This window comes from Homo sapiens, chromosome 7 (genome assembly GCF_000001405.40).
Source record: "Homo sapiens chromosome 7, GRCh38.p14 Primary Assembly".
Lineage (NCBI taxonomy): Eukaryota > Metazoa > Chordata > Mammalia > Primates > Hominidae > Homo > Homo sapiens.
In genome coordinates, this window is record NC_000007.14 from 129,465,075 (window position 1) to 129,492,690 (window position 27,616).

General features: G+C 41.9%; 1 protein-coding gene and 2 pseudogenes across 7 annotated transcripts in view, besides 1 other annotated feature; all 3 read left to right on the plus strand.

Annotated features, from left to right (window-relative positions):
- STRIP2 (striatin interacting protein 2) overlaps positions 1-23,325 on the plus strand; it is a 53,968-nt gene extending 30,643 nt beyond the window's left edge. For 4 of the 7 annotated variants that reach the window (NM_020704.3, XM_011516432.2, XM_017012471.1 and 1 more), the window contains 5 exons: positions 2,276-2,376; positions 5,575-5,641; positions 15,711-15,815; positions 17,768-17,972; positions 20,505-23,325. In NM_020704.3, coding sequence (NP_065755.1) covers positions 2,276-2,376; positions 5,575-5,641; positions 15,711-15,815; positions 17,768-17,972; positions 20,505-20,755 — 729 coding nt within the window. In that variant the 3' untranslated portion in view covers positions 20,756-23,325. Of the gene's footprint in view, positions 1-2,275; positions 2,377-5,574; positions 5,642-15,426; positions 15,816-17,767; positions 18,558-20,504 lie in introns of those variants that run through there. The other 3 variants (XM_006716069.4, NM_001134336.2, XM_017012470.2) reach the window with 3 other exon arrangements.
- Positions 4,765-5,304: an enhancer, noted in NCBI's record as "NANOG hESC enhancer chr7:129109680-129110219 (GRCh37/hg19 assembly coordinates)". NCBI's record gives its function as "activates a minimal SCP1, AML or CMV promoter by ChIP-STARR-seq in naive H9 embryonic stem cells {active_cell/tissue: H9 hESC(naive)}" and the evidence as "EXISTENCE:reporter gene assay evidence [ECO:0000049][PMID:30033119]".
- On the plus strand, positions 12,681-13,148 carry SNRPGP3 (small nuclear ribonucleoprotein polypeptide G pseudogene 3; annotated as a pseudogene).
- On the plus strand, positions 19,430-19,582 carry RNU1-72P (RNA, U1 small nuclear 72, pseudogene; annotated as a pseudogene).
- Positions 23,326-27,616: the final 4,291 nt, after the last annotated feature.

Genomic DNA, 27,616 nt, shown 5'->3' on the forward strand with positions numbered 1-27,616 from the left:
TGACCGTAGTTTTCTATATGTGAAGCACTTTTCCAACATTTGAGATATAATTCTGAGAATAGGGCACAGTTCTGGCTCTTCAGGGCCTTGAAACCTTATAAAGGATACAGATATATAAGTAGCCAATTATAGAGAGATAAGTGCACTGATACTGATAAGCACTGGTTGCTATGGAAACATCTAATCCAGCTTGAGGTGGAGAAGAAATGACTCCTAACCTGAGTCCTAAAAAAACAGATGTTAGCCAGGATATGGGAATTGTTAGGGAAGGAGGACAGGAGGCATTTCAAGCAGAAAAGCTAATATGCAAAAGTCCAGAGGGGGAAGAGAGAGAGCAAAGTACCTTTAAAAACCGTAATTAAATGTTGCTGGAGTTCTGCCTGGGGCGGGGAAAGATGGGCATGGTCTGGTGACACAGGAAGCTGGAGGAATCGGCAAGGAGCAAATCATAATCTATATGCTAACACACAATTACTGGGCACCTATCCTGTGCCCAGCACCCTGTTAAGTTTGTCTAGGCCCTCATTTAATTATCTCCACCCTATGAAGTAGTCTTATTTAATACCTCTTTTATACATGATGAAATCGAAGCTAAGAAAAATTAAGAAGCTGCTTTCCCGTAAAACATTGTTTGCCATGCTAAGGAGTTTGGACTTGGTTTCATGGGCATTGCCAAGATATAGGGACAAGATGGGGACAGCAAATGGATGCTCCTGTCTGTGAGGAGACCACAGGGAAAAAAGGAATGCTTCTCATTTTTGCCCAGAGGCTCTACCCCATTTTCCTCCTAAGAAGTCAGAATCAAGCTTGCTGGTAGAAGAGCAGGTCCTCAGAGTACAGAGAGGCTTCTGTAGGGTCTATGTCCATGGCCCTATCAACCAGGGTATTTTTCCACTTTCATACATTCGAAGACATCTTTGGGTATGTTTCATTGCCCTGAGTGCTCCCACTTTTGCCAGTGTTTGCTGAGCAGCAGCAGGGCTGGGAGGAGTAGTGGTAGGTAGGAGATAGTGTTTCTAGTGGAAAGAGAACAGAGAACTGTAGATGTGTGTTTACTTCTGCTTTTCTTGGTGGGAAGTATGTGGATTCACAGCCAGACAGGTGGATGGCTTGATGGGCCATGCCAGTGTGTCAGTGAATCCTGAAGGGCCACAGGCACATCTCAAACTGAAAAAAGTTTTCCATCAGATGATACTGGATATGTGTTGGCTCTTTTGTCTGGGGCTTTGGAAAATACCCTGGATTTTACAAATAAAATAAATAACCTTCCAGGGAGAAAATTTTGAACAGAAGAGAGAAGTAGTCTTGGCATAAACTGACTCCACTGCTCTAACTACATACCCAGGGCCATTAGGCAGCTTAGCTTGCTGCTTGGCTACTTGTTGGTGATCAGAGAGCTGAGGATTTAAAACACCATAGTTCTCTGCTTTTTCAACCCCATTTCTATACTAGAATACTAGGTTCTGGATCTGGAGATAAACTGTGTTTGACACTCCTTAGTGTATCATGGGTAACATAACCCCCATGACACTGCTCTTATGGCCACCTGTCCCACTGGGTTGTCCTATATACAGACCACATCTGGATTTGGGAGAGCAGAATGGAGTCTCCACATTCTGGTATTAAGCCTATCAAAGACACCTTAGACTTCTCAGTGCAGTATCTGTTGGCTGAAGGGCTCTTGTTCATTCATTTATTAAAACATTTACTAATATTCTTTCCCCCTTTCCCCCATACTCCAAGCGGCCAGTATACTTACTGATATTCTAAATACTAAGGATAATATGGTACACCAGACATACTGGAGCTGGAGCCCAGTGGTCCATTTGGTTATTATGTGCTGTCACCATCCTGACTGAGTGATGCCAGCAGTTGCCAAGAGTAAGCTGCAGCTGTCCCTGCTATATCAATCACAGTTGAAACATTATGAGCCAGAGGTTTGGCATGGAAAACGACTCCCTCGGGGAGCCTTCCTTTCCTGTTGGGCTTAGGAACAAATCTCACAGCAATTCTTTCTATGTATTGGAGTGGGATTTTATTTTCTGGCTTCTTTGTTTTGTGCTTGTGACATATACTGCAGATTATCCCCCTCCATGTAGGATGGGCTGGCTGAAGATGATTCTTCCCATTTCCCAGACAGGAAGACTGATAACACAAGTGGATAGTAGATATTCTCAGGAATGGATATTAGATTTGTATTTCCTCTCTTTTTTTCAAACATACTTTCCATTCTCCTCCAAATAAGCAGCCCTTTCTGCTTTGATTTTTAATTCAGTTTGAATATGTATCGCAACATTTGGTATTTGCCAACTGCATCCCCTTGATCCTGAAGTTCTTCAATCAAAATATCTTGTCATACATCACTGCCAAAAACAGGTATGAACTCTGGACAGGTTTATTTCAAGGGGCTATTTTGGGGTGGTTGAGAAAATTACATCATCTCGGAGCCTTTCAGTTTTCCTGGTGTCCCTAGTCCCTCCTGTCTTAGAGCTGTCACTGTTAAATTTAATTTCCTTGAAGTGTTAGCTGATGGAGTGTATAGTTTTACTTCTTTAGGGAAGTATTTATATTTTAATAGTTTTAAACACTGAAAAATGTCATGACTTAAAGAAATGAAGTGGCAATGATGAATTTTTAGCTCTGTGTCAGGTGGATCCAGGGGTTGTTTTTTGTGAAACAACCTGCTTGTCTGGCCAGGCGTTATTTTAGTATAAATCATAAGTTGGAGCAATTGGAACAGTTATACTGTTTCATAAACTGTAATGTATTATACAAAATTTGTAACTGAAGTTACATAATCGAATTTACTGAGGTACATCAATTTGTAGTTTAAAAAAATAAGGTATTTCACATTCATTATTTAATCTCCTCAGCAATGCTAAGAGTTGTTATAAGTTTTATTCTCATTTTTCCAATTAGGAAACAAATTCAGAGATATTAACAAAATTAACATGCTGGTGAGACCCCTTAAGTAAGCATCAGAGGCAGGATCAGAACACAGGCTTCCCTGTGAATACAAATTGCTTTCCATTCCTCCAGCCAAGCAGGGACTTGGGGATTACAGAGTAGATCCTTGTTCCTTAATATTCTACTTTCACAAGAACTGGAAATATGTTAATCAGTAGAGTTTACCAGAGGCAAAATTCCTAAAGTAGAAGTAAGAGGGCTAATCTCATACTTGGGGTGACTAGAGATATTGCCACACTAGTTTGTCAGTACTGCCTGAAATTCCACCATGGAGAAGGAGCCTACTTATATGTAGCTTAAAACACACACACACCCTATGGAGCCTGAAGTCATGAGACCTGGATTCGTGACCTGGATCTGCCACTTACTAGTTATGTAATCTCAAGCAAGAAACTGTTTCTCTGAACCACAGTATTTTCATCTTTAAAATAAGGATAGCTTTTCTGACTATATCATAGAACTTTTATAAGCATTAGTTAATATTGGTATATGTAAGATTGCTTTAAACACTTTCCCTTGGGGGTAAGCATTGGAGGATGGGTTTTTCCTAACAATACGGAGACCTGTGCACTGGCCCCTTTAAAACTGGCACTTCAGATGTGCTACTTGAGTTACCAGGGAAAATGAAAGTACAGGTCAGGCTGTGTCAGGGCCACAACTGCATGCAGGCACCTCTGTGTATCAGTCAACACTCTTGGTTAAAAGTAACCAAAACTAGCTGGACTACACTCATGCAGAATAGCGACTTTGTCAGAATGAAATGACGTGTCATCCTGAGGAACCTAGGACAGCAATGCAGCTCTGGACCTCAGGGTTGGCCTGTAGTGTGGGGAGCCCAGAAAGCCTTTCACGTCTATCTGTAAGACACCAGGCCTCTGTATTTCCACTCCAGTTTCCTCTCTCACTGACAAATTTATCAGTCTGCATTGTTTGCTTCTCAGGCCGCATAGTGAAATACGTCTATATGAGCTAAACATGCCCCACCTCAGAGACTGAATTGACTCTTCAATCCCTATTCCAGATTCCCTGGGTTAGAGGTTCACTCCTAGATCAACTGTGGCTAGGGGAGTGGTATACAGAAATTGAATGTTCCTTCTGCACCCATGGACCTAGAATGGGAGGTACAGACAATTCAATAGATGTCCATTTGGTTCAGTTTGGAGTTGGAAGAGTGGTAGCAACAGACTACACCTTTTGCTAAGGTTGGCCTGAACAAGATGATCCTCTTATGCACCATCTGTAAGTTTTACTTTTGAATGATCTCTGAGAACTTGGAGATCACAGCTCATTATTGCAGAATTTTCTCATGGCTCTTAACAATCTAGATGTTCTAGATACTTGTAAATTAATTTTATGCCCCCTTAGGCTAGATTTCAATTCACTAAGAGAATGGAACAAATCTATCTTTGATTTCCCACCCCCATTTCCTGGTCGCCGGCAACTACTTTGCCATAGGGCTTTGTCAGTGGGAGGTGGGTGGATAGGTGGATGAGCCAGCCAAGAATGTTCATCCTAATGGAGCAGTACAGAACTGGCAACCCTGGGAAAATCCAATAGAGTGAATCAAGATGATGAACAACATTACAGGTAGTTTGACACTGCCCTCTCCCAAGCTGACCCTTCTCCTCTCCTACCCTGGTCCCCCAGGTTATCTTGGACAAAGGTAAACATTTCTGGCCAAATAAATTGTTGCCTTTTACTTGTATAGAAGTTTTGACTTTTAAAATGTAGAGACAGGTTCATTATAGCAGTGTGAACTTGTCGTCGTCAAAGCCACTGCTTTGCCAACATCCTTTATCCATTTCCAGCTGCACTAGTTCAGATAGGTTGGTGTTCAAAACCTCATGGAACATCAGAACCAGAAGGGGCATTAGAGATTAGCTAGTCCAGATTCTGTATTGTGTCAGTGAAGAAGGGAGAAGAGGAAAGAGACAGCTGTCATTTATTTTGTAACTATGTCCTTGTCATAATGCAATGCCTTATTTCCCCTCCTAACTCATGCCTGCTTCCCTGGGCTCACTACAGAGCTGTAGCTTGCAGTCCCCCACTGTCAGCTATTACCATTCTTGAGTTACTAGATTAGCCTTTCTATAGGAAACTGCCCCTGTCTCAAGCTTCCTTTAGGAGTGGCTTCTGTAATCATTCCCCAGAGCTCCCAGCTTTCAGAAAGATCTGGTGAGAGACACAGGAGGATCATTTCATCCTCCCATCCTCAGATTGTTATCCAGTGGGATGGGTTTGGGCAGTGTCTGTGGGAGCAGTTATATTCACACATACAGTTAAATGCAGAAACACAAATGCACTCAAGTTTACATGTTCCTTTAAAGAAGCAAGGAGTGCTAAGAAAAGAGGCTCTCTTTCTGCTTTCTTTTGCATCTACCAGATGGGTGCCAGCCTCAAAGAACTCATTGGTTCCTCTCATGACAGGAAAGGAGACTGGAGCTAGAGTTGCCTGGCACCAGAGCCCTCATTTCAGCTGAGGTCACTAAGCAATTTGGGAAATGGATAGGGGCTGCTGGAGAGAAATAACTCCTGCCCTTTCCAGATACAGCCAATTCCTGCTGTTGCCATTTACCTAAAGCCTGTCCTTATCTCTGCATCTTACAGCATCTCAGTCCTGGATTATCCTTGCTGTACCATCCAGGATTTGCCGGAGCTTACTACTGAAAGTCTGGTAAGCAGATGGGGATTTGGTAGCCTTTGAAATTGCTAGGTAGCACAGGTTGGCATTTGCTCTTTCATTTCTTCTCCAACCCCTTAATGCCCTGGTTTGAGAGTCTCAGATCAATGAAGGTATATTGGCAAGAGCAGAGATGCAGCAGGGGTTTAGAGTTGCTGACCCAGTTGAGAAAGATTTGGAAAAGTTTAGCGTAGCATTTTTCAGAGAAGAGGAAACAGCCAGTGAAAAACACTAAGGAGGAAAAGGAATTTAGAAACATAATGGGACCGAAATTGAGCGTGAATATCTATGCTAAATGCAGGACAATCTCTTCTGGTCTAGCACAAATAATTATCTGTCTTCTTTCTGCTGTGCTACAGGGAGTTCACTTCTTATTTTCATATAGGTAATAAAACCTAGCAAGCAATGTGTACTTGAGAAAATACTTTGTCTAAGTCTCTCGGAGGCAAAAGTCTATATAGCCACAAAAGGATAGCCCAGAAAGTTTCTCATCTTGAAAACAGCTCTAGGCAAATCAGAAAAGTCACTCACGGTTATTCTTAATTCCATGAAACTGACTGAACAACAGCCATACTGAAGATGAGGTATCTACCTCATCATGTATTGCCATAGCTCCTTAGATAAGCCACAATCCATACCTCCAGCCTGTTGCATTGTAATTATGCATTTGTGTCTGTTTCTTAATTTGACTGTAGAATCCTTGAATGAAGAGGTAGTATAATCATTTTTATATCCTTAGAGTCTAGCACTTTGTCTGGTACATTGAAGAGCTCAATAAATGTCAAATGATTGAATCATGGCATGCACCAATGGTTACTACAACCCTTTGTCCTCCAATTGTAATTCCTGCAAAATGTTGAGTCAGAAAAGTATATTATGCAAAAATAGAATGACAATCTCTGTGGTACAGGTTTTATAGAACCATGGGATTCTTGGCTGGAGGGGACTTAAGAGCCATTTGATCCAACCCCCTTATTTCAAAGATGAGAAACCTGAAGGCCCAGTGAATGAAGTGACTTGTCATGGTTTACTCCTCATAGGTGACAGAGCCTGAATCAGACATGAGTCAAAAGACCCATGTCCTGAGACACCAACCTAGCACCCTTTTTTACCACTGGGATAGAGAGATTCCCTGGTCTTATTTAGATGTGGCCTCAGCAGCCAAAGAAGTTGGAAGCTTTTTATTCCTACAGAGAAGTAATAAATTGTCTAACCCTCTCTATGTTATTTATGATGCTATTCAGTCTTTTTTCAAGTTTTTTATTAAAAAAAATTTTTTTTACCCACACTACAGAGATGTAGCTATTAAATCGTTAAAACAACTCTATGAGGTTAGTATTACTATTTTATAGATGGAGAAGTTAAATAGCTACCAGTTGAAAGTGGAAGTCAGGGTAGAGAGACATGTATCCCCTGCCATTCAGAGTTGGAATGAAGAATACATTTTCCACAGAAACAGTGGTACACAGTAGCATTAAAATTCTGCTATTAGTAGGGCATTTCAGAAGATAAAGTCAACTTTTATGGCCTGAATTTATTTCTTCCTATAATGTGTTTTTTATTTTCAGTTCCAACCCCATTGGTTCATATATAGGAATTGATAGGAACCACACTTTCACATCTCTCCCAATTGACCTTTGGGATATGTGCATAAAATTACTGAAATGAAGTGAACATAATAATTTATTATGTTTTCTAAGAAGATTTTAATATTATTCAGAGTGAAAGCATGTATTTATTCTTCCTGAAAAATAGTCATGCTAAGTATTTTACTACTTTGTGTGAAGCAATAGTGGCACCTGGTGGTTTCATTTAGTAACCACAGACTTTTTGTTTTGCTTGAATTTTGAATGAGCCCAGTCATGGGCTGCAATAACTAGTGAGTCTATTCCACATAGGTCCTCAGTATGGTTTATCTAAACTGGTGACTTCTGTGCTCAGAAAAACACTAATGTTCATATGAGTAAGATATATCTGTTTTTTTCAGGCTTAACAAATTGCAAGCACAGAAAATGTACTGGCTATTTGAATATATAGAATTTTCTTTTCTTTTCCTTTTTTTTTTTTTTTTTTTTTTTTTTTTGAGACAGAGTCTTGTGCTGTCACCCAGGCTGGAATGCAGTGGTGTGATCTCAGCTCACTGAAACCTCTGCCTCGTGAGTCCAAGTGATTTTCCTGCCTCAGCCTTCTGAGTAGCGGGGACTACAGGCACGTGCCACCATGCCCAGCTAATTTTTGTATTTTTAGTAGAGACAGGCTTTCATCATGTTGGCCAGGCTGGTCTCGAACTCCTGGTCTCAGATGATCCACCTGCCTCAGCCTCCCAAAGTGCTGGGATTATAGGCATGAGCCACAACGAATGGCTATAGGATTTTCTTTAAGTAACTTTTGAAGTTTTTTTCCTGATATTAAAATAAATATACGTATTGCAGAAAACTGGAGAAACAGAAAAGTATGAGGAAGAAAAATACTCTTATGCCACCTACATATAGCCACTGTTAATATTTTGCTGCAATTATATATATATTCACTCATATATAAACACATTAACAAAACTAAGACTTTATACATAGATATTTCATTTGACAGCAAAATTTAAATGTTCACAATATCATTTTATTAAACATTCTAGAGGACAATTTTTTTCTTTCTTTTTTGAAGACAGGGTCTTGCTTTGTCACCCAGGCTGGAGTGCAGTGCACTCGGCCTGAAGCACGGCCCATCGCAGCCTCAAGCTCCTGGGCTGAAGTGATCCTCCCACCTTCCCAAGTAGCTGGGTGTAGGTGGGACCACAGACATGCTACCATGCCAGGCTAATTTTTGTATTTTTTGTAGAGACGGGGTCTTTGTGTTGCCCAAGCTGATCTTGAACTCCTGGGCTCAAGCAATCTGCCCTCCTTGGCCTCCCAAATTGCTGGGATTACAGGTGTCAGCCACCATGCCCAGCTGAGGACATAATTTTAATTTCTTTAAATTTTTTATTTATTTTTTATTTTTATTTATTTATTTTTTTTGAGATGGAGTCTCGCTCTGTCGGCCAGGCTGGAGTGCAGTGGCGCCATCTTGGCTCACTGCAACCTCTGCCTCCCGGGTTCAAGCGATTCTTCTGCCTCAGCCTTCCGAGTAGCTGGGATTACAGGCACATGCCACCACGCCTGGCTAATTTTTTGTATTTTTAGTAGAGACAGTGTTGTACTGTGTTAGCCAGGATGGTCTCAATTTCCTGACCTGGTGATCCGCCCACCTCAGCCTCCCAAAGTGTTGGGATTACAGGCGTGAGCCACTGCACGCAGCCCAGGACATAATTTTTAATAGTTACACATAATATTCCACTATTTAGTTTCAAAAAGGATTCTGTGCTGTTGACATTTATTTATGTTTTCCTTGTGTAACTCCAAAACAAACATCCTTGCATGCAAATCTTTTATTTTTTTTTTTTGAGACAGGGTCTCGAAGTTGCTCAGGCTTGAGTGCAGTGGTGTGATCACAGCTCACTGCAGTCTTGACCTCCCAGGGTCAAATGATCCTTCCACCTCAGCCACCCAAGTAGCTAGGACTACAGGCACATGCCACTATGCTTGGCTAATTTTTAAATTAAAAAAAAATTTTTTTAGAGATAAAATCTCCCTAGAGACAGAATCTCCCTATTTTGTCCAGACTGGTCTCAAATTCTTGGGCTTAGTGATCCTCCTGCCTTGGCCTCTCAAAGTGCTGGGATTACAGGTGTGAGCCACAATGCCCAGCTGCACATGAATCTTTGATTATTTCCTTTAGATTCCTAGAAGTGGAATTATTGGGCTGAAGTAGTCTTTTTTTTTGAGACAGTCGCCCAGACTGGAGTGCAGTGGCGCAATCTCTGCTCACTGCAGCCTCCACCTCCCAGGTTCAAGCGATTCTCCTGCCTCAACCTCCCAAGTAGCTGGGATTACAGGTGTGTGCCATTACTGCCCAGCTAATTTTTGTACTTTTTAGTGGAAGCAGAGTTTCACCATGTTGGCCAGGCTGGTCTTGAACTCCTGACCACAAATGATCCACCTGCCTCAGCCTCCCAAAGTGCTGGGATTATAGGCCTGAGCCACCGCTGGGCTGAGGTAGTCTTGATTTATATTTTTTCAGTTTTCTGAATTTGAACTGAATTCATTTCAACTTTATATGAAACTCTAAACAGCATGATGAACATGAAATAAAGGTGAGCTAATGGCATATTAATTTCTGAAGTATTCCCATTTTGTCAAACTAATTAGCTCTTAGATAGGCCATCTTCACCAATATACTAAGTAGTTTCCCCTCCCACCTGGTACAGGAAGTTTAAAAATTTGTGTATCTCCAAATGTCGGTATTCATATTCAATCCACTAAACTAGGAAAAAATTGAAATAAAATTCCAAACTTAAATGAAGGATGGTGAACGTATGATTATGTGGAAGTTAAGTGTGGTCTTTGAAAGGAGGTTGCTGGAGAAGGCAGTGGATGTGGGCTCAGTATGTATTTTGCAATGCTTAGCATCTGAATGGTTGTTGAGAGCAGTGGTATGAAATGTAGGCTGTGCAAGGAAATGCTTTGGGGGATGGAAAATATTAAATATTTTATATGTATTATATTGATATCTTTTTATTTTTTTATTTTTTATTTATTTTTTTTATTGATCATTCTTGGGTGTTTCTCGCAGAGGGGGATTTGGCAGGGTCACAGGACAACAGTGGAGGGAAGGTCAGCAGACAAACAAGTGAACAAAGGTCTCTGGTTTTCTAGGCAGAGGACCCTGGGGCCTTCCGCAGTGTTTGTATCCCTGGGTACTTGAGATTAGGGAGTGGTGATGACTCTTTTTTTTTCTTTTTTTTTTTTTTCTTTTTATTTTTTTTTATTGATCATTCTTGGGTGTTTCTCGCATAGGGGGATTTGGCAGGGTCATAGGACAATAGTGGAGGGAAGTTCAGCAGATAAACAAGTGAACAAAGGTCTCTGGTTTTCCTAGGCAGAGGACCCTGCGGCCTACCGCAGTGTTTGTGTCCCTGGGTACTTGAGATTAGGGAGTGGTGATGACTCTTAACGAGCATGCTGCCTTCAAGCATCTGTTTAACAAAGCACATCTTGCACCGCCCTTAATCCATTTAACCCTGAGTGGACACAGCACATGTTTCAGAGAGCACCGGGTTGGGGGCAAGGTCATAGATCAACAGCATCCCAAGGCAGAAGAATTTCTCCTAGTACAGAACGAAATGGAGTCTCCCATGCCCGCCTCTTTCTACACAGACACAGCAACAATCTGATTTCCCCATCTTTTCCCCACATTTCCCCCCTCTCTATTGGACAAAACCGCCATCGTCGTCATGGCCCGCTCCCAATGAGCTGTTGGGTACACCTCCCAGAGGGGGTGGCGGCCGGGCAGAGGGGCTCCCCACTTCCCAGAAGGGGTGGCCAGGCAGAGGTGCCCCCCTCCTCCCGGACGGGGCGGCTGGCCGGGCGGGGGCTGCCCCCCACCTCCCTCCCGGACGGGGCGGCTGGCCGGGCGGGGGCTGCCCCCCACCTCCCTCCCGGGCGGGGCGGCTGCCGGGCAGAGACGCTCCTCACTTCCCAGATGCGGCGGCTGCCGGGCGGAGGGGCTCCTCACTTCTCAGACGGGGCGGCTGCCGGGCGGAGGGGCTCCTCACTTCTCAGACGGGGCGGCTGCCGGGCGGAGGGGCTCCTCACTTCTCAGACGGGGCGGCTGCCGGGCGGAGGGGCTCCTCACTTCTCAGATGGGGCGGCTGCCGGGCGGAGGGGCTCCTCACTTCTCAGATGGGGCGGCCAGGCAGAGACGCTCCTCAGCTCCCAGACAGGGTCGCGGCCGGGCAGAGGCACTCCTCACATCCCAGACGGGGCGGAGGGGCAGAGGTGCTCCCCACATCTCACGATGGGCGGCCGGGCAGAGACGCTCCTCACTTCCTAGACTGGATGGCGGCCGGGAAGAGGCACTCCTCACTTCCCAGACTGGGCAGCCGGGCAGAGGGGCTCCTTGCATCCCAGACGATGGGCAGCCGGGCAGAGACGCTCTTCACTTCCCAGACGGGGTGGCGGCCGGGCAGAGGCTGCAATCTCGGCACTTTGGGAGGCCAAGGCAGGCGGCTGGGAGGTGGAGGTTGTAGCTAGCCGAGATCACGCCACTGCACTCCAGCCTGGGCAACATTGAGCACTGAGTGAACGAGACTCCGTCTGCAATCCCGGCACCTCGGGAGACCGAGGCTGGCAGATCACTCGCGGTTAGGAGCTGGAGACCAGCCCGGCCAACACAGCGAAACCCCGTCTCCACCAAAAAAATACGAAAACCAGTCAGGCGTGGCGGCGCGCGCCTGCAATCGCAGGCACTCGGCAGGCTGAGGCAGGAGAATCAGGCAGGGAGGTTGCAGTGAGCGGAGATGGCAGCAGTACAGTCCAGCTTCCGCTCGGCATCAGAGGGAGACCGTGGAAAGAGGGAGAGGGAGACCGTGGGGAGAGGGAGGGGGAGGGGGAGGGGGAGGGAGACTGTGGGGAGAGGGAGAGGGCTATTGATATCTTTTTTACTTTCCGTACTTATGAGTACATTCCTACAATGTTATTTAAAACTATGCATTTATCAGTAAACATACATGTATTTCAGAGATATACTGTAAACATACCATAAAGTATATATCCACTTTCCATGAGGTATTTATACAAAGGAAGGACCATGGATAAAATTTTTTTAGCATTATATCAATTTTCCTGTTGGTCACTATTTCTATAATGGGTTCTTGGGGAGATTAGAATCTCCAGGATGATTTTTCAAACTCACATACCCAGGTATGTTAGTGCCCCTTACTGGGGCACTTGTAGTTTGTTAAAGTTTCCCAAACAATCTTGAAATTTTTTTTTCTCCTTCCTCCTTATCCACTTATTTCACTTGAGAACCATTACTCTCTTTTAAGCTATCCAGATCTATGTCCTTAATCTAGCAGTAATTTATCAAAAACCCATATGATAAGAGAATTATTCTATAATGGTGTTGGTAAAGAAAATCTAAAATAGAAAAAACATGCCAACAATTGATTGGCTAATGAGGTGGGTGATGCCAGATGCAAGACTGCTGGGCCTACCACAGGAGCAAGAGAGAAGCCATGCATTCCATCTCAAGGCATCTGTGAGCCCATGTAGACACCATGAGCAAAGCTCACCCTCCTGAGTTGAAAAAATTTATAGACAAGAAGTTATCATTGAAATTAAATGGTGGCAGACATGTCCAAGGAATATTGTGGGGATTTGATCCCTTAATGAATCTTGTGATAGATAAGTGTGTGGAGATGGCAACCAGCGGGCAACAGAAGAATATTGGAATGGTGGTGATACGAAGAAATAGTATCATCATGTTAGAAACCTTGGAACAAGAATAAATAATGGCTGTTCAGCAGAGAAATTCCACGTCCCCTCTCCAAAGAGCCTGTTTTACTATGATGTAAAAATTAGGTCATGTACATTTTTATGTTGGACTTTTTATATTAAAAACTTTTTGTTAGGCCGGGCACAGTGGCTCACGCCTATAATCCTAGCACTTTGGGAGGCCGAGGCAGGTGGATCACCTGAGGTCAGGAGTTCAAGACCAGCCTGGCCAACATGGTGAAACCCCATCTCTACTAAAAATACAAAAATTAGCTGGGTGTGGTGGCGGGCACCTGTAATCCCAGCTACTTGGGAGGCTGAGGCAGGAGAATCGCTTGAACCCGGGAGGCAGAAGTTGCTGTGAGCCGAGATGGCACCACTGCACTCCAGCCTGGGTGACAGTGTCAGACTCCATCTCAGAAAAAGAAAAATTGAAAGATTGGCAGTAACCTAAATGACCACTAATATAGGGCCAACTGGTTAAATAAATTATGGTACATACTTGCAATACAATATTAGGTAACCATTATTAAAAAGAACGAGGCAGTTCTTTTCAACTGGAGAAAGTCCATGTAAATCACGGAATTATAGAATGCTCAGACCTGAAGTGATCTTAAAGATTAGCTAGTTCAACCTTCTACAGGAAACAAGGAAAATGATTTACCTAAGATCATACAGTCAGGGATGAGGCCATAATCCAAGTATTCTGGTATCTATTCCAATGCTGCTTCTACAAGGGGATGCCTTCTCTCCCATATTATTCTTTGAGATACTGAGGACTGCAAGGCTTTTTATGCCTCTACCGTATTGAAAATCAGGATGAAGGAAGCTCACAGTAGAAATACACTTACTTATCCCATATGTTTTGTGTTTCCCTTGCGTCTTAAAAATTTAAAAGTCTGTTCGGGCGCGGTGGCTCATGCCTATAATCCCAGCACTTTGGGAGGCTGAGGGAGGTGGATCACCTGAGGTTGGGAGTTCAAGACCAGCCTGACCAACATGGAGAAACCCCATCTCTACCAAAAATACAAAATTAGCTAGGCGTGGCGGTGCATTCCTATAATCCCAGCTACTCAGGAGACTGAGGCAGGAGAATTGCTTGAACCTGGGAGGCAGAGGTTGCAGTGAGCCAAGATCACCCCACTGCACTCAAGTCTGGGCAACAAAAGCAAAACTCTGTCTCAAAAAAAAAAAAAAAATGTAAAAGTCTCCCTGTCTCTATTAACCACACAAGATATAACGTCTGTAGAACTTGGTCTATTTGGGGCAAGCCAGACTACCTGATGCACTACAGTAGAAAGTCCCATAGAAGTTTTCCTTAGAAGCAGACAGATGGTTCTCCTGGGACAATATTGAACATTTACTGTATGATGGAGAATATTATTTATAAATAATGTTTCTTTTTTTTTTTTTTTGAGATGGAGTTTCTCTCTTGTTGCCCAGGCTAGAGTTCAATGGCGTGGTCTTGGCTCACTGCAACCTCTGCCTCCTGGGTTCAAGTGATTCTCCTGCCTCAGCCTCCCAAGTAGCTGGGATTACAGGCTCCTGCCACCATGCCCAGCTAATTTTTTAATTTTTTTAGTAGAAATGGAGTTTCACCATGTTGGCCAAGCTGGTCTCGAACTCCTGAACTCAGGTCATCTGCCTGCCTCGGCCTCCCAAAGTGCTAGGATTACCAGTGTGAGCTACCACAACCGACCTATAAATAATATTTCTAAATAAGAAATTTCCCTGAAACTTTTTGGCTCTTGGTATTAGGTATTAGGAAAGCCTAATACCCTCAAAAACTTTGGATGTTCATTCCACATTAGATATATGCCTGTCTTGCTTCAAATTAATTTGAGGGAGGAGGAGGTAATTTTCCATTCACCAGACAGCAGCTCACTTCTACATGTCATCTACTCCTACATTCTCCTATCACATTGTAGATGTGAGGAATTTCCAAGATGTTAGTTTGGCTGTCACGTGTGCTCATTGAGTTATATAGCTTCTGACACCAGTATGTATTTGCAAGCCCCAAATTCACATAAGGACTCACATTTTTATTTCTGAAAAATCTTTCTATGAGTAGATACCTGCTTTTAATCTGACATCCATCTGTTGTCTCTGGTTAGGTGTTCACAAACTATCAAGAAATATATAAGAAAAATATCTGATTAGAAGAAACCATCTGCCATTTTTCCTTCCATGCTGAAGAATTAAGCATCTAACTGTAATATGGTTTGATAAAGGAGGGTGAAGGTTGATAAGATAAAAAAAAATTCAACCATAGTTGATATCAGATCCATCCAACATAGTTTAAAATCTACCAGAATTAGACCTAATCCTAACAATTACAAACATAGTTTATATAAGCGCAAAGTACCTGTATATGGGGGTAAAATTCTCTCATCTCTTTTCTGATCCTAGAGCAATAAGCTACACAAGAAAACTTGCCTGAATCAGGTTCCTGTGCTCATGTATCATCTTTCTAACCAACACATGCTGTAGGTAGAGTCTTCCAGGATTGGCAGCTGAGGGGGTTTTTAAACCATGGGCTTTGGAGACTTCAGTGTGTTAAGAAACAGGAAGGTGAGGAGGTATTATTTCATACAGGAAGGCCTCACCTAAACTGACCAACATTGACTTCCAGGCTTCTGTGGGAATTAAAGCCTTGTAGGTATTAAGATAATGATGGATGTTCCCTACTATAGGAAGCTGGAGACAACAGCCAGTTCTGCTGGAGGAACCTCTTTTCCTGCATCAACCTCCTGAGGCTGCTCAATAAACTGACCAAATGGAAACATTCCCGGACCATGGTGAGTGTGGTTTTTTACATCATGGAGTTGTCCATCTGACTGAATTTTTAAAAGATCACTAGTAAATATTTGTGTGCTACCTGGTTTGTGATCTCCGTATATAGACACTGAATGCTACATAAGATTTAGCACCTCATAATTCTGGGCACTTATTCTATATTAGATGATTACTTATCAGTCCATTTCTTTTCAGGGGGCTGAATCTCAAACCCTCCCTCAGGGCAACTCTAGCAGGGAAGCTAGCAATGTTGTTTGGATTACATACATTCCCAAATGATGCAAGTGCAAGGTTTATCATTGCAACATTGTTTATAATAATGAAAGCTTGTCTGGGCTCCGTAGCTCATGCCTGTAATCCCAGCACTTTGGGAAGCCGAGGCGGGCAGATAACAAGGTCAGGAGTTCGAGACCAGCCTGACCAACATGGTGAAACTCCATCTCTACTAAAAATACAAAAATTAGCTGGGAAAGGTGGCAGGCACCTATAGTCCCAGCTACTCGGGAGGCTGAGGCAGGAGAATCATTTGAACCTGGGAGGCAGAGGTTTCAGTGAGCCGAGATCATGCCACTGCACTCCAGCGTGGGCAACGGAGTGAGACTCCGTCTCAAAATAATAATAATAATAATAATAATGAAAGCCTGGAAACAAGCTAAATGCTCATTAAGCAGGACCAACTGGTTAAATAAATGATGGTATGTCCTTATAATAGAATATTATGCAATCATTAAAAAGAATGAGCAGCCGGGCTCAGTGGTGCATGCCTGTAATCCCAGCACTTTGGGAGGCTGAGGCAGAAGGATTGCCTGAGCCCAGGAGTTTGAGACCAGCCTGGGCAACATGATAAGACCCCATCTCTATTAAAAAAAGTAAAAGAATGAGGCAGTTCTGTACTGATATGGAATGGTTTTCAAGATATATTCAATAAAAAAAACCAGGTATAGAACAGTGTGGCAGGATATGTAGTTGGCTACCATTTGTGTTAAAAAACAAAAGTAGGCTGGGTGTGGTGGCCCACACCTGTAATTCCAGCACTTCGGAAGGCCAAGGTGGGAGGATCACTTGAGGTCAGGAGTTTGAGACCAGCCTGACCAACATGATGAAACCCCATCTCTACTAAAAATTAGCTGGGTGTGGTGGCGGGCGCCTCTACTCAGGGGAGGCTGAGGCAGGAGAATCACTTGAACCCAGGAGGTTGAGGTTGCAGTGAATCGAGACTGCACCACTGCACTCCAGCCTGGGCGACAGAGTAAGACTCCATCTTAAAAACAAAACAAAACAAAAAAATAAAAGTAATATATGCATACATAGAATTATCTCCAGAAAATAAACAAAAATACTGTGACAGTGGAAATGATATGTGTGGCTGACAAAATTTTCTTTTCACTTTATACCATATGCTTTGAATATTGAAAACTTTGAACAATAAAATATGAATGGAATAGTTCTCTCTCTCTCTCTCTCTCTCTATATATATATATATATATATATTTTTTTTTTTTTTTTTTGAGACGGAGTCTTGCTCTGTCACTCAGGCTGTAGTGCAGTGGCATGATCTCAGCTCACTGCAACCTCCGCCTCCTGGGTTCAAGCAATTCATGTGCCTCAGCCTCCTTAGTAGCTGGGATTACAGGCCCATGCCACCACGCCTGGCTAATTTTTGTATTTTTAGTAGAGATGGGGTTTCATCATGTTGGCCAGGGTGGTCTCAAACTCCTGACCTTACGTGATCCACTGGCTTCGGCCTCCCAAAGTGCTGGGATTACAGACATGAGCCACCTTGCCCAGCCCCCCTCTATATTCTTGAAGATTAAATCTAAGTAGAGCCTGGACCATAGATTCCTGAAAGCTCCCCAGGAATTTCTGAGGCTAGCTAGGTTTGGTTTAATTTGTCTGTAAACTGGAAATTCCAAGAAACGTTAGATCTTTACCCCACCCCTCTTTCAATGAACAGATGCTGGTAGTGTTTAAATCGGCACCAATCTTAAAGCGGGCCCTCAAGGTCAAACAGGCCATGCTGCAACTTTATGTCCTAAAGCTACTAAAGTTACAGACCAAGTACCTGGGGCGCCAATGGAGGAAAAGCAACATGAAAACCATGTCAGCCATTTACCAGAAAGTGCGTCACCGCATGAACGATGACTGGGCTTACGGGAATGGTGAGTCTTCCCAAAGCTCTTGACTTCCTGGAGTTTCCTGGGGTTTAGACAAAACTAAATAAATATTTATCACTCCTCTTTTGGCATGAATTGTTACATATTTTAGATGAAAAAATATGTGATTATAGGTCAGGCGCTGATACACCAAACTTTAAGGTTATGCCTCAAATTCTAGTATGTACCCTTGTCCTATGTAAACTATGAAAATCCGTTTTATAAAACAAGTAAATTGAGAGATAATTAATTGCCTTTCCAAAACATTCTTTTAAATGACAGCTTTCTCCAAAAGATTTAAATTAAAACAACTTTTTATTATTACAAAGCAGTTAGAAAAAAAGATAGAAAATACAAGTAAACAAACATTTTACTATATTATATTTATGCCATATTTGTACTATGCAGAAATTGCCACCATTAACATCTTATTGTATATTCCTCCAGATCTTTTTCTATGCATATACATGCATATTTTATCAAAATGAAAGCAAGTTATGTATGCTATTTTGTAATTTTCTCTTTTAACATTATCTCTACCTTTTCATGTCAGTACATTTTCATTTCATCTAATAAAGTTCATATTCACAATTTTCGAGTTGTCCCAAAATGTTCTTCATAGCTATTTTTCCAAGTCAGAATCCAATCCAGGACCACAGGTTGCATCCAGTTGTTATATATATGTTAATTATTTTTGTTTTCTGTTTTTTGTTTGTTTGTTTTTTTGAGAGGGTCGCTCTGTCACCCAGGCTGGAAAGCAGTGACATGATAATGGCTCACTGCAGCCTCGACTTCCTGGGCTCAAGTGATCCTCCCAGCTGCCAAGTAGCTGGGACTACAGATGCATACCACCACTACACCCGGCTAATTTTTCAAATTTTTTTGTAGAGATGGAGTCTCTCCCTGTGTTGCCCAGGCTGGTCTTGAACTCCTGGGCTCAAGGGATCCTCCTGCCCTGGCCTCCCAAAGTGCTGGGATTACAGGTGTAAGCCACCGTGCTTGGCCTCTAAGCAGTCTCCCCACCTCCACCATTAATGCTAACTAATTGAAGAACTAGGCCAGTTGTCCTGCAAAATACTCACATTCTGGATTTGTCTGTTTTCTTCTTTGTGGTGTTATCTACTTTATTCGTCTATCTATGGTATTACCTGTAAACTTGAAGTTAAATCTAAAGGTTTGATGAATTCAATTTAAACCTTTTTGGCTGCAGTATGTCCTAGGTAATCTTGGGAACTGTACATTGCCTCACATCAGAAGGCAAGATATTTGGTTAAACTACCAGAACTTGTAAGATTGATCAGAGTTTGGAAAAATTTATTTTGGAGAGCTTTTTTATTGTTTTGTATTTGACCATTATTTCCATAATTGTATTTGAGAATTTTTGGTAATGACTTGTCTTTGCTGTGTTTGTAACCTGCTTGAATTTTAAAGGATGATGCAGTAAAGAGTTCAGATAACTCTACTTACTTACCTGGCAGGGAAAATACCATGATCATGAAGATGGTTTTCCCAGGACAAGTCTTATCCATTTTACTCCAGATATGCTGACCCCTGCTATTCCCCTAAATGTGGGAAACTCAACTGCATAATTTGTGGTGCTGAGGGACTGTCTTTTCACTAAAAAAGGGTTTAGAGAACTAAAGGAAACATATGATAGGCACATAACAAGCCAGGATGCAACTTCTGCTATAAGACATAAAGCACAATTATCTATTAAATTCTTGTAAATTTTTAAAACACAAAAATGTTTTATCCTGCAAATGGCACATCTGTTGTTGCTGCCATTATGAGCCCAAACTCACACTACACTTCCTTATGATAAACCCTTGCATGTAGAACATGAGAGATCTGGGAGATTTGTATCTTCAGCCCTGAAATAAGTGTCTAAGTGAATAGAAGCGAAACAGATTATCTGTTTTCTGTTTTTACCTTCATTGAAGCCGTCACCTCATCATCTTAAAATAAGCTGACATATAGATTTATCATGTGCTGGAGGAGATTCCAGGGAATCAGGAAAATCTTCGGTAATTGGTCCATTCTGATTCTCCATGTTATACCCCTCTTGCCCCTTCCTATTCCTTGAAAGCTGGCTATTCCATTCAGATGGGACACTCATCCCCTAAGGAAAGCTGCATAAAAGGAATTTAATTACCCTTTTGGGAAACATAATACATATAACTAGTAATACATAAAGCTAATAAGAAAGTGAAATAATAAAAAGGAAATACAATAGAAGAAGTCCACCTCCCTCTGGGCCCTCATTTCCTTTCTCATAGGTAACCACTATTACCAGTTTCTAGACTACCCTTCCAAAGATAATTTCTGCATATACAAGCTTATGCATGTGGGCATATGTGTATTTTTTAAACCTAAGTGTCAGCATGCTGTATACTAACTTCATACATTGCTCTTTACAAAAAAAAAAAAAAAAAGAATTTCTGAGCAGTTCCATTTTTGGAATCCCATAGACCATGCTCTGTGATAAGAGGAGCAGTGTCTTGCATTGTATGTCTTCTTCTTCCTCTCTTTCCAACACAGACATCGATGCCAGACCATGGGACTTCCAAGCAGAAGAATGTACCTTGAGGGCCAACATTGAGGCTTTTAACAGCCGTCGCTATGACAGACCCCAGGACTCTGAGTTTTCACCTGTGGATAACTGCTTGCAGAGCGTACTGGGGCAGAGGTTGGATCTGCCTGAAGATTTCCACTATTCATATGAGCTCTGGCTCGAGAGAGAGGTGTTTTCACAGCCCATCTGTTGGGAGGAGCTGCTCCAGAATCACTGACTAAGTTCTTGTCAACAAGCATCAATAGATAGAGGTCAGCTCCAATAAACTGTGCTCTGCCTACCCTGTCCATACAGGCGCTGTTACCAGTTCAGGGCTCTTCTGGGGGCTCTTGGGCCTAAAGATGGTGCAAGGGTGGGATCCTGAATCACAATAAAATGATCAACTTGCCCTGGGGTCAGTTGGGTGCCCAGTTGGCCTTGGAAATCTTTTGGTGGATCAATTCTAGACAAGCTCTTTGGTAGGACCTTTTCCTGCTTTAGTCTTGGCTACAACCAGGCTAGACTTTGCTGGCTCTAAAAGAGGAAATTTGTTATGGCATTTGACCCATGGCATTCATCACAGATAGTGGGAGGTACAAGTCATAAAATAGGGAGAAAGTTTTCTTCTTGCTCACACTGGATTCCTAGGACTTATCAGAGATTTGGAAAAACCAACTTTGAAATTAAGTTTGCATTTTAAATTTCAAATTTGGAAGCCTCTTTCTGAAATCATTAGCTCTAAGATTATTTTAGAGCACCTGCACCTTCTTTGTGAAGGATGATGATTTACTATTCCCTCAATACTGCATGTTATCGAAAAGTGTGTTGTGTAAAGTGTTTTTTTCCTCATTCTGTAAGAGATCTATATTCAATGTGAAAATTATTTCCTTGTGTACTCTGTATAGGGCATGGAATGCTCTGCCATTTTTAAAGAGCCACAACCAATATGAAATAATTAGGTCCTCTCTAAGGATGTTTCATGTTTTTCTTAAATGACTCCAGTCTTCAAATGGCTGAGCATACTGCAGAAAATTATCCTTTTCATCTAATTCATTTTTTAAATGACAAGTTAACTACAGGAGGCTTTATTTATTCAGATGGTATGTCCACTTGTGGTCGTGATCAATATATTTTTCTAATTGAAAAGTAAAAGCATCACAGCTTACCATTTTTCTTTTTCTGCAGTGTTGATTAATGATTTTTTTCCCGTTTATTGCTAGCAGTTTCAAAGTGTCATGTGGAGATTTAGCAATACTGTCTCTACTTAAAAGTATTGCACATTTCATTGAAAATGTGAGAGTTGATATACCAGCCTCTTTATATTTCTCTTTTACAGCAGAATCACATACTTCTCAAGATAAACAAGGTTTTTAAAAAAGTTTCTGATTTAGTTAGGATCATATGCTTTTTTTTTTTTTTTTTTTTTTTTTTTTTTTTTTGAGACAGAGTTTCGCTCTTGTTGCCCAAGCTGGAGTGCAATGGCACGATCTCGGCTCACTGCAACCTCCGCCTCCCGGGTTCAAGCGATTCTCCTGCCTCAGCCTCCCAAGGAGCTGGGATTACAGGCACGCACCACCATGCCTGGCTAATTTTTTGTATTTTTAGTAGAAACAGGGTTTCACCATGTTAGCCAGGCTGACCTCAAACTCCTGACCTCAGGTGATCCGCCCGCCTCCACCTCCCAGGGTGCTGGGATTACAGGTGTGAGCCACCATGCCCAGCCTCTTCAAGCTTTTTTACTATACATGTTGCCCCTCTCCCCCAACTTAGGCACTACTGAATTTTTTATGATGGCACCAGGTCACTTTATGCTGGGTGATATAGTCAAAATTTGCTTATTTACTCTGCCCCTCGTCAACCACAGTATCATTTCAAGGACATGAATAAAATACTTGACAGTATCCAAAGGAGCTATACCAAAATCTAACAAGTAAATTTTGGATTTTGCCTCTTTGTGCTTTAAAGTACCAGGATTTCTGTCTCTATGGATAGGTCTTGGAGAATGTTAAGTAATGGATGAAACTTTTTAAAATAATTTGTAAATTTTACCTAAGTAGGACAGTAGTCCTTACTGCAATCAAAATAATTTACTGAGCACAACTCCTGTAAATTAATCTACAGTCAGGCTAGTATGATTTTAATATGATTTGAGTAAAAAGATAATTTTCAAGGAAAGAGTAATCATCCATCAATTTATTATAAAGCCAGATAGTATTCAATTTATGTCAAGAACAAAGAAATTGCCCTTTTAAAAGCATGTACGTGAATGCTTTTTGAGGCACAGAAGTATGCTAAGCTTTAACATTTTGTATTTATTTACAACCCTTTTCTAAGGGAAGGTTACTTCTCAGTGCAGATGGAGAAACTGAAGCACTAAGGATAAATGATTAGTTTCCAATCACATCATTTTTTTCCACAGACTTGCTGGGACTAGCTTTCAGGTATTGACAGCCAGCCCCATATATTAAGGTAACCAGGTTGAATCTTCCAATTTGAGAACCCATGTATGGGTTGCAGTGAGCCGAGATCATGCCACTGCACTCCATCCTGGGCAACAAGAACGAAACTCCGTCTCAAAAACAAAGAAGGATATAATAAAGTTAATATATAAACCATGTATGTGGTTAGGAATAAATTCAAATTCACCAGTCTCCAATGGTGATTACTTTTACTACATAGAAAAACATTTTAGTGACTTACAGAGGATTTTTATTTGTGAATATTTCAGTAAAGTTTGTGTTGATTGTTGATAACACTGTTCATCTACTGAAGCACTTTAATAAAAATAAAATGAGCTGGAATTAGAAATTTGGTGTTTAAATTCTTCAACACAAGAGAAACTCAAAGTCATATAGAAAGGAAGGATATAGGCCGGGCGCAGTGGCTCACACCTGTAATCCCAGCACTCTGGGAGGCCGAGGCAGGCAGATCACCTGATGTCAGGAGTTCGAGACCAGCCTGACCAACATGGTGAAAACCCCGTCTCTACTAAAAATACAAAATTAGCCGGGTGTGATGGTGCATGCCTGTTATCCCAGCTACTGGGAGGCTGAGGCAGGAGAATCGCTTCAACCCAGGAGGTGGTGGTTGCAGTGAGCCAAGATCGCGCCACTGCACTCCAGCCTGGGCAACAAGAACGAAACTCCGTCTCAAAAACAAAGAAGGATATAATAAAGTTAATATATAAAATATTATTTTACCCCCAGAGTGTTCCCTGAGAATAGACTAATACAAGCAATAAACTCCAGATCTTAGTGACTTTTGACAAACGTTTCTTGTTCATGGGTCTAGGAGTTAGCCGCAGCTCTGCTCGACTCACCTTGGCTTGCTTGGCTTGGCTCTGTTCCACAGTCTTCTTTCTCTGGCACTAGACTGATGGAATAGTTCCTACTTGGGACATACACTTTTTATAGTGAAGAGCAGGAGCAAGAGACAAACCATACCATGCAAGCACATTCAGACTCCTGCTTGAATATGGTGTAAATCAAATTGTTCATATACCATTGACCAAAGCAAATCACATGGACAAGCCTAACATGAGACTGGAGAAGCATACTCTACCTACAGAGTGGCAAACATGGATGGTATAATACTCTCATAAGTAGGGAAAGTGAATTGGTCATGAATATCTGCTCCTATATTACACACAACACACAGCCCCTCCTCAAGGAAGACCAAAAATCTTATCCAGTCATGTGAGACCTAAATTCTAGGATCTCATCTAGATGAAGGTGTAGATGAAGTGTTTCTTGATCCTGTGACTTGTTAACTTAAACAACAAGATATATCTACCTAAAATGAACAACAGAGACCAACTCTCCAAAGCAGAGTTTATTTGGGAATAGCAGGGGATTGCAATCTGGGATATGCATGCTATGGCAGACCACAGGCTCATCCAAAGGAGTTGTGGCAAAGGGGAAGCTTTTAAAAACAAAAAGAAGTCCACGTAAACTGTTTTGGAACAAAGACCATTGGTTACAGGGGCTTGTTGCAGAGTTGGCAATAGCTCATGGGTGGAGACATTCATTGTTAGTTGAGTATCCTTGTGTAAGTGACTTATCTGGAATACTGTGGTTTTGAGGAATTTTTTGCATAGTTCCCATCATAGGCATACTCGAATGAGGGCCCCTCCTCCATGGCCTCAGCTCCGTTTTGTTTGTTAGATTTGACATTAGTGACTCCATTTTGATAATTTTACAGTTAATGCATTGTGGTGGTCATTTCACAATGTATACATATATCAAAACAAGTTGTATTCCTTAATTATATAAAATTTGTGTCACTTTGATACCCAGGCTACATGAAGTATAAACCTATGTGAAGTATAAAACTTGCCACACTGGGACTCTGGGAACATAGGTGATAAGTATGTGTTTAGGGTGGTTTGCAGGGGCAAAGAAAGTCTTGACATGATTTCAGAAATCCTAGGCACACCAATTAACATCTGCTTTACCTACAATAATAGGTCCAGGTCAGACTTTTTGATAATAGTGTAAGTGTGATAGAATGTTTTCTGTAGTAAAAGAATGTTTTACAAAATACAGAATTTGCTAAAAACATTTGTGAAACACCCAGTAGATTCTTTAGCAGCTGGTACTATTCTGACTTGTGGTTAATGCTAACACACAGTTGGCCTTCCACGTCCGTGGGTTCCACAACCATGGATTCAACCATGGTGGATCAAAAATATTTTTAAAAATTGCTTGTGAGGCCAGGCGTGGTGGCTCATGCCTGTAATCCCAACACTTTGGGAGGCCAAGATGGGCAGATCAACTGAGGTCAGGAGTTCAAGACCAGCCTGGCCAATATGGTGAAACTCTGTCTCTACTAAAAATACAAAAATTAGCCAGGCCTGGTGGCTCATGCCTGTAATCCCAGCTACTGTAGAGTCTGAGGCATGAGAATCGCCTGGAGACGGAGGTTGCAGTGAGCCAAGATCATACCACTGCACTCCAGCCTGGGCGACAGAGTGAGACTCCGTCTCAAAAAAAAAAAAAAAGAAAAGTTGCTTGTGTACTGAACATGTAGTCTTTTTTTTCTTGTCATTATTCCCTAAACAATACAGTAAAACAACTATTTACATAGCATTTACCTAATATTAGGTATTATAAGTAATCTAGAGATTATTTAAAATATACAGGAAGATGCACATAGTTATATGCAAATACTACCCCATTTTATATCAAGGACTTGAGCATCCAAGGATTTTGGTATCCTTAGGAGGTCCTGGAACCAATCCCTCCAGATACTGAGGGACAACTATATTGTCTTAGTCTGTTTTCTGTTATAAGACTACCAGAAATTGGATAATTTTATATAAACAATATAAATGTATATGGTTTACAGTTCTGGAGGTTGAGAAGTCCAAGAGCATGGCGCTGGTATCTGGCGAAGGCCTTTATGCTGCATCATCCCATGGCAGAAGGCAGAAAGGCAAGATAGCACACTAGAGAGAACTAGGAAAAGAGGGCTAAACTCATCCTTTTTCAAGAACCCACTCCTGAGATAATCAACCTATTCCCACAATAACTCCATCAATCCCTTCATGATTGCAGAGTCTTCATGATCTAATGACTTCTTAAAGGTCCCACTTCTCAACATGATTGCATTGGGAATTATGCTTCCAACACACAAACTTTGGGAGACACATTCAAACCATAGCACTTTTTTTTTTTTTTTTTGAGACAGAGTTTCACTGTTGTCCCCTAGGCTGGAGTACAATGGTGTGACCTCGGCTCACTGCAACCTCTGCCTCCCAGATTCAAGCAATTCTCCTGCCTCAGCCTCCCGAGTAGCTGGGATTACAAGCATGCACCACAACACCCGGCCATAGCACATATTTTATATGATGTTTTTCAACATTAGAGACCTCAAAAAGACATTTGAGAGTAAAAATGGCTACAGTATGATTTTATTATCTATACATTAAATATAAACTTTATCTGCCTCTGAGTCTCCTCCTTTCCCATTTTCTCTGAACCAAAAAAAAAAAAAACAAAAAGAATGAAGAGAATAATTTACCTCCCTTATCTCACCACTCAACACAGATTGTTTATATGGTGGTGGTTTAACAATATAAGGAAATGTGTAATCTATAAAATAGAGTAGAACAAAGAGATCAAAGCTCTATTGATATTGGTGAAGCATTGTAACAACATGCAAATTATTTCTGGAAATGTTGGTATAGGTAAGTCCCAATAGGTGATGTTTGGAAAACACATGAGTTACATCTCAAAAAACAACAGCAACAACAACAAAAAAACAAAACAATAGAAACTTATTCTCTCTCTTTTTTTTTTTTTTGAGACAGAGTCTCACTCTGTCGCCCAGGCTGGAATGCAGTGGCACAATCTCGGCTCACCGCAACCTCCGCCTCCCGGCTTCAAGCAATTCTCCTGCCTCAGCCTCGCGAGTAGCTGGGATTACAGGTGCCTGCCACTACACCCAACTAATTTTTTCTATTTTTAGTAGAGACAGGGTTTCACCATGTTGGCCAGGCTGGTCTTGAACTCTTGACCTCGTGATTCACCCACCTTGGCCTCCCAAAGTGTTGGGATTACAGGCATGAGCCACTGCGGCTGGCCAACTTATTCTCTCTCACAGTGTGGAAGCCAGGTGCCTGAAGTCAGGTGTCACTAGGAAGGTGCTCCCTCAAAAGGTTCAGATGGGAGAATCTGTTCCCTGCCTCTTCCAGCTTCTGGGGGCTCTGGGAATTCCTGGGCTTGTGGTGCATCACTCCAGTCTCTGCCTCTGTGGTCACAATTCTTCCTCCCCTTCTCCCTCAACTCCCTCTGCTTCTCTCTCATAAGGATACATGTGATTGCATTTGGGGCCCCCTCGGATGATCCTCCTCTAAAGATCCTGAACCCAATCACATCTTTGGCCGTATAAGGTAATAGTCACAGTTTCCTGGGATTCACATGTGGACAAATCTTTTTTGGAGCCACCATTCAACCCACTTTACCCACTAACACTCATCAAAAATCTAACAAATAGCAACAATGATTCATTTACTCCCTCTCTGTCATCATTAGTAGTGTAAGGCAAGTCCCAGGAGAGGTTATTTTTAATTGAAAAATGCTTGCAACTGCAAATGTAG